Genomic DNA, 7,623 nt, shown 5'->3' with positions numbered 1-7,623 from the left:
GGGGGTCTAGACCTGAGGAACTTGTCATGGTGCAGTGATTCCACAACAGGGACACCAGGCTTTCTTAGATGGCAGAACAGTCATATATTGGCATTACGACATCTACCTCAGCTTTTGCAGGTGTTTAGTTGAGTAAGCCAAAGCATGGCATCCCCTGGACCAGAAAAGAGTATGTTTCTGTGGCTTGAAACCAGGAACCAGGCCTGAGACATAATGGTCATCTTTAAGTTCCAGTCCATCTCCACACAGCCTTCCTTTTCTTTGAAGACAACTAGGCCACTTCTACCAGCTCTCATCTCTCTTATTACATGGTAGTATTTGAGAGATCACAAATCTGTTTTAAGCACAGTTTTACAGATGACAAAAGCAAGACTTAGAAATATTCTTTGATTTCACCAGTAATACATGGCTAATTTGTGGCAATACATGAGAACTAATCTCATGATTCCCAGTTCTGATCTGGGTGTCTTGCAGTGTGACTGACCCCAGAACACTGCAAGAAAGGAGGAGGTTAAGAGGAATGTGGGTCATCGTAGACCAGGGATAATGAAAGAGTCTATGCTATCAGACCATAAAATCAGAGAAAGGGAAAGAGGCTTCTCACCTGACTCAGATACCTGGGAAGGTGAGATATAGTTGCATTTATGCACTGGAACCCAAATAGGTCTGTGGAATAGGAAAGAAACCCCAAGGAGAGTTCTGAAAGTGGGGAGTTAAAGGAAGGGAGTACAGAAGGGAGAATCAGGAACCCCAGAGGAGATATACAAAATGCCTGACAAACAATTAAATTCAAAGTTCCCCATTTGATTTTACTGATGGATCTTAGGAATGGCAAAATATCCCCCTATGGCCCTAGATAGTAGCAAGAAGTGGGTTGCTTCTGTTTTGCTCCATGTTTCTAGAGACTGATGCATTCTTATGAAAAGCTAGTGATTTGCATCCAACCTGATCAAAGATAGAAACAAACAGCCCTGCAAGTCACCTAATCACAGGTAAAAAGAGAACTTTAAAAGAGTCTTTTTTCAGTAGTAATAACTGGAAAGTAGAAAAAGGGAACTAGAAGATCATTGAGTTTAGATTCCAATTGGTGACATGTATATCAAATATGAATGCAAAGTCTTTTAGCATCAGTTTTATTTACCCTTCCTCCCTCCCAGTCCTGTATGGATGATGGCTATTCCTCCAAAGTCACACTCCACCCTTCTTTACCCTGCTCTGTGCCTCAGATGATGTCCCTTGGTGTCCTTGCCCTCTAGTTTTGGTTGGGTCCAGCCCAGTGTGGGGCTGGGAAAGGAGATTTGAAGATGGAAAGTAAGCAAGTTTGGAGATTTGGGACCCCTTGGCTCCCTCCTTGCCTTGCTGGAACCTAGCACTGGCCACATTCCTCCACCGGGGACGCAGTGCTGGTCACCTGCTCCTCTCCATAGCTTCAGTGTTTTCCAGATCCAGGAACAGCAAACACACTGTCTCTTCAGGCCTGGGGTGGTGAAGGCTCCCTGCTCCATGGAGCTGGGTGGGGGGAAGGGGTAGTTCATCATCCCTTGTTACTTCCCTTAACCTTCTCACACCTTTATAAATACAGTAGTCCCTTTATTAAACTCTCTCCAGTGACCACTTCGAGTGAGCCACCCATTTCCTGGAGAGCCCCTACTTATACAGCAAGCTTGCAAACATGCCACATGCTTTTGATATTGGAATGGCTCACTATTTAGCCATCTTTTTTCCCCCAACTTTCCATTTCATTTTTGTGGGAAGCTTTTCCAACACAACAACATAAAATTCCAATTAAACACATGTTCAGCCCTACTAGACTCTGGGAGCAAGCATAGTAAATCATTCCCAAGTAAGCCATTCTTGATCTAAAATAAGTGTGGACACTAAAGAAAAGGTTATTATAAGCCCAAACTGCTAAATTATACTTTCATGACTGAACACAACTGTAATCCATATTATTATTTTAAATTACACTATAAAAAGCAGTCATTTATCGCCTTTCCAAAACACAGTGATAATATATTACCAAATTATCAAGGGTTCTTTATTAAATCTCTTGAATTTGATTTATAATACATGAGGTAGCTTATCCTTGAGAAAGATCTACTAAAAGGTATACTTAGTCTTAAAGCTAGTGAAATAAAATCTCCCTCTAATCAGCTGCCAGAAAGCTTCCGCTTCAGTGCTTTGTTGATACTGGTGTCAGCAGGACATTAAAAGCTTGAAGCTTTTTACGTTTGATCAAATACCAACATTATGCTGAAGCAGAAGTATTAATTCATAGAGTAAAGCTTCCAGAACCTCTCCAGCTCTCCTTCATCCTTCCTCCCCCCACCAAAAAGGTCACATCAAATCAGGGGTTCAGGGACAAAACAGAGACGGGCATTTTGTCAGTGTTTCATGTACACAAAACCACTCTAGAACCCAAGGGAGAGACAAGCACTAAAATATACTTTTCTAAAAATGCCAATCCCATCTAAGAAAGGGGAAAGTAACTGTTGCTGAAAAATAAGAAGGTGACCTGGTTATTATTCTCATCTTATAATGAGAAATGGAGCACCAGAAAGGGTCAGGAATTTGCCCCAAATTTTCAGCTAGTGTTTGGGGAGCTGGGATCCTTGTCAATCAGATCATATTACTACAGTCCCTTCCTGAACAAAACCTCTCAACAAAGAAATAGGAAGCCTCCAAGATTAAAGAAAAAATCATTTTTTTCCACAACTTTTTTTTTTTTTTTGCTTTGATTCCAGGCCTTCTAAAAGAAAGTTTTTATTATGCTGCCAAATTCACAAAAATGTTCAAGGGAACAGATTGAATTTTAAGTGTGTCTCAGAAACCTGCAGGAAAGTGTCAACAATAAAAACAATGTTCTCAGAAGATTATTTATACATAAGAGCCCAAAATGTATTTATATTGACATCTACATAGTTGCTGTAAATGCTAATTTCAGTTATCTTTTACATGGCTTTCTCCCCCTTGTCAATACACACATACGCACCCCTACAATGGAGAAGTAATGCAGACACTGTGCAGCCTGTAAGATGCTTACCATTGCCGTAACACAATTAAGACATGCAAGATCCTAATTGATTGTTTGTTTGTTTTTTTTTATAACTGACGTGGAAAATAAGAGTTAGCACCATTGTTTTTAACAGGTATACAGGTGAGAGGAGCTGGAAAATTCATTGCTGACATGGAGAAATACATGTGTATCGGGGAAAGGGGGCAGATATAAGAAGGATCATTTTGGTTTGTTTGAAAATCACATATCAAAGTGTTGAGGAAACAGAAGTTATCCACATCGTATTGCCCAAGTCCTTATTGCCATAAATGTATTGGACAACATGGGGCACCACAGGAGTAATATGCCTCAGACCAGATTGGAAATGGAACGTACCGTGACATACAACCAACTGTTATTCTTAACAAAATATAGGATCTAACCAAATTGTCCATACTGGGGTCTGGAACAGATTTTTCCTGGGAGCGAAAAAAGAACACGACCCCAAATCCACTTCTCGTGTTTTTATTTTTTATTTTTTTATTTTTGTTCGCACCGCCCCCCCCCCAGCCCCCAGAGTAAAAGAAAACTGTTTTCTAGGTAAATGGTCTTTCCTTAGCAGTACTTGCATGGCTTGGCATTTGGTGCCCAAAGCATTCAGCAATAGGTAACTTCTTTCAGTTTAAAGATTCTGGCTGGTCCATTACATAGAATTTCATTTTTATGAATCTTTGAAGACTATCGTACTTGATATTTGACATCCATTTTGGCTGCTTTCATCTTTGAACACCTTTCCTGACATGAAGCTACTCCCCAGCCTCCTCGCAGCTCAGGAGCAGGCATGGGACATAGGCTCCACCAATGAGATCTGAATAAGAGAGACTTCGATTCAGAAGCAAATGACAATGTCCTAGGCTGAAGAGTAGTCCCTACAGATATCAGATCCTAATCCCTGGAATCCGAATGTTACCTTATGTGGCAAAGTCTTTGCAGATGGGATTCAGTTAAGGATGTTGAGATGAGGAAATCATCCTGCATTACCCAGGTGGGCCTCACATGCAATCACATGTATCCTTAAAAGAGGCAGTCAGAGGGAGATTCAACATGCATGCAGAGGAGGAGGTCATATAAAGATGGGCCAGAGAGGGATTTGAAGATGTTGGACCTGAAGATTCTGCTTATGCAGCCACAAGCCAAAGAATGCTGGTAGACCCCAGAAGCTGGAAAGGAAGAAACGGGTTCTCCTCCAGAACCTCCAGAGAGAGCGCAGCCCTGCCAACACCTTGATTTCAACCCAATGATACCTGATTTTGGACTTCTGACCTCCAGAATTGTGAGAGAATAAATTTCTGTGGTTTCAGGCAACCAAGTTTGTGGTAATTTGTTACATACTGAAAACTAACACAAACATAAAGAAGTAGGCCCCGTACAGAATGCAGTCTAACGAGGTTGGTGGCAGCCACATACAGCTTTCAGAAGCAGCAGTAGCAAAGTTTCCAGGACTGCTTTCTAGTTCACAGTGAGCAGCAGAGTCTATGTCCACAAGGTCTGGCCGTGGAGTGCTCCAGTATAATCTGTGCTTTGCTTTTGCTATGTTGTCTCTGACCCTCTCTACAATCCTGTGAGCTACTGAGTATATTTTCACAAATTACTTTTCTGCCTGAACTATAGAGTATTCCATTTTTTACAACTGAGAATGCTGGCTATAACAATAATTAAATTAGCATGATCTTCAACATGTTGGGCCATCCTCACCTATAGCAGATCATGTGTAGGGCATCTCCTTCTCCCAGATATTTATCCATGTGAAATCCAGTTAAACTAAAAAGTAAGCAAAACCATTTGGTGGAAAAGAAAAGGAGGTGATGTCAGAAGCATGTTCAATTAAGATAAACTGGTCAAGTCACTGTATTCAACAAAAATAATGATGAATGAAGCCCAATCCCTGTGTTTGAGGAGGCTAAATGGGTACTGTAAACATTGTAGAATATTGTAAGTGAATACCACATTGTTACTGCCCTGCTATCTTGCCCTGTGGTTTAATAATAGAGCATGCCTCACCTTAGGGCCTCACGACCCCAAGTATGTCCAGGGACCTGTGGCATCACTCAGGAACTTGTTAGAAATGTATTAGTAGACTCTCAGACCTTAACCGAGACTTATAAATCAGAATCTGCATTTTAACAGATGCTCAAGTGATTCATATGCATTTTAAAGGTTAGAAGCTCTTTACAAGGTGACAAGGAAGAGGACGTTTTGGAGGAGATGGCACCTGAGTTGGGATTTGGGTTGAACTGAGAGAAAGACACCCCAGGTAAAGAAAATACCCTGAACATAGGCATGAAGGTGGGAAAGTATGGGACTTGATCAGGGATCATAAGGTGTTTTATGAAATTCTACATATAAGATAAATAAAGGGGAAATAGTTTAGGATTTGTTTGTGGAAGGTCAAGGTGGAGTTTCACTTTAGCCTGAGGCATTGAAGGTGTGTGGAGGGGCAGGTGGGAGGGTGACATGACTAGAACTGTGTTTTAGGAAAATTACACTGACCACATGTTGTCAAGTTGACTCAGAGGGACAGCTAGAAGGAGGCGCTCAGAAGACAGCATATTGCAGTTGTTAGGCAAGAACAAAGTAGTGACGGTACATGAGAAAAGAAGAATGTAAGGGTTACTGGGCAGGAAAACAAACAGAACTTGGTACTGTTTGTTTGGGGATGTAAAAGGCAGAGTAGATTTTAAAATTTAAAGTCTGGGTGTCCAGCAAGGAAGATAGAAATTTGGAGGAGAAGTAGGTGTATCAGCAAGATGAAAACTGGTGAGTATGAATTTTAGTCTTGTTGATTTTCATGCATCAGAGGACAAGCATGGGAAGTGCATTGGAAATGTGAGATTAAACCAGCACTCAGGAGAGAGGTGGAACCTGGGAAAAGATTTGGGGGAAATTGGTGCAAAGGTGATGACAGATACCCAGGAAATAGATTAACTTTCTGGCTAAAAGAGTGTGGATGGCGGGAAAAAAGAGCCAGGAAAAGAACCACTGGGAATACTCTCATTTAGGAGAAGGAGGAAGAAAATGTGCCAGCCAGGGATCTTAGGAGCAAATCACAGAACACCCAACTCTGGCTCACCTAAGCTGAGACAGGATTTACTGATGGGATATGGTCTTGCTCACACAGAGCCAGAGCTGGAGAACCAGGCGCAGAAAACAAGAGGCAACCGAGTGTGGCAGGCAGCCCAGAACTGCTACAAGCCCACTCCGGCCACAGGAGCTTTTGGTGCGAATGCCACCACGATGCTGCCTGCAGGGGGAGCTCGCCATGGCTGATGCTGCACCCTCGGCCCTGAGACAGCGCGGCTTCCACCTCCAGAAGTGATTTCTGACTGACCCAGGCTGAAGCCTCTGACTGACAGGGCGCAGGTCACATGCCGGCTTTCCAGCAGGGAAGGAGCGGAGGGGAGTGGGAGGGAAACGGCCCCTACTACCGTCCCCCGGGTCCTGCCTGCCTCCCCAGCCCTAACCCCGATGATTTTCCCAAACAGGCTAGGATGCGGAGGCCGAGCAGAAGAAATTGACCACTGTTCAATAAAGCAGTGAGGAAGGTAGGAGCCCCAAAATATCTGAGACAGGTCTCAATCAATTTAGAAAGTTTTTTTCGCCAAGGTTAAGGACGCATCTGTGACACAGCCTTCAGGAGAGCCTGATGACATGCCCAAGGTGGTCGGTGCACAACTTGTTTTGTACATTGTAGGGAGAGATAATCCATCAATTAATACATGTAAGATTCACATTGGTTCTATCTGGAGGGAGGGACAACTCAAAGCAGGGTGGCGGGCCTTCCAGGTAGATTTAAAATTTTCCCGTTTGGCAATTGGTTGAAAGAGTTATTATTGGTAGAAAGAACTGTCTGGGAGCAAGGAGAAGGAGGTGGTGGTGGAGGGAAGTGTTGGGAACAGACAGGGAAATGAGGACAAGCAAATCCTGGAGGGGCTCCTTTAATACAAGTTAATATTTAAAGGTGTTTATCATAAGCAAGTGTTACGCCCAAAACTGTGGGGTATTCAAACATGGGGAAGACAGGTCATGACTTCAATGAGCTGATGAGCTACCAGGCATCGGAGTAGATGACCTTTAATGTTCGTTCAACCTTAAATATGCTAGAACTTAATATTTTTAACGCAAATATCAATAAAAATCAAGTGAGGATTTAATAAGGTCAAATAATAAAAATTGCATTGGGAGTTCAGAGCAGGAGGCAGACACTTCCAGCTGGGAAGGTTTCAGGGAGGAAGCAGAATCTTAAAGGATAAGGAGACTTAGTGGGGACAATGAGCATTTGGAGGGTTTGCCAAAGAAAACAAAAGGTATAAAACTATGACACACACACACAGACACACACACATATACAAACCAGATGTCAGAGTAGACATTTATCAGTTGTGAGGCTTCCCAGCATCTGAATCTCTTGAGGTTCCCCATCTTATGAGTCACAGCTATGACTCTAAGAGCTGAAAGATCAGATGCTCACTTTCTCTGTCATCTTTAAGTCTAGGGCACAGGCGCACAGCTTGGCTTTCTCAATTAGGGACACTCAGGGGCCGGGTGCGGTGGCTCACGCCTGTAATCCC

The 7,623-nt window shown here is 42.8% G+C and overlaps 1 protein-coding gene across 1 annotated transcript in view, besides 1 other annotated feature; it reads left to right on the top strand.

Moving 5' to 3' along the window:
* PLA2R1 (phospholipase A2 receptor 1) overlaps positions 1-4,360 on the top strand; it is a 138,683-nt gene extending 134,323 nt beyond the window's left edge. The window contains exon 31 of the mRNA XM_047443729.1: positions 3,150-4,360. The gene's annotated coding sequence lies outside the window, so the exon portion shown is untranslated. The remainder of the gene's footprint in view (positions 1-3,149) is intronic.
* Positions 6,183-6,292: a silencer, noted in NCBI's record as "silent region_12047". NCBI's record gives its function as "represses an Ori minimal core promoter by ATAC-STARR-seq in GM12878 lymphoblastoid cells {active_cell/tissue: GM12878}" and the evidence as "EXISTENCE:reporter gene assay evidence [ECO:0000049][PMID:35858748]".

This window comes from Homo sapiens, chromosome 2 (assembly GCF_000001405.40).
Source record: "Homo sapiens chromosome 2, GRCh38.p14 Primary Assembly".
Classification (NCBI taxonomy): Eukaryota; Metazoa; Chordata; class Mammalia; order Primates; family Hominidae; genus Homo; species Homo sapiens.
The sequence above is the reverse complement of the archived record's forward strand: the minus strand, read 5'-3'. Positions and strand labels throughout refer to the sequence as shown.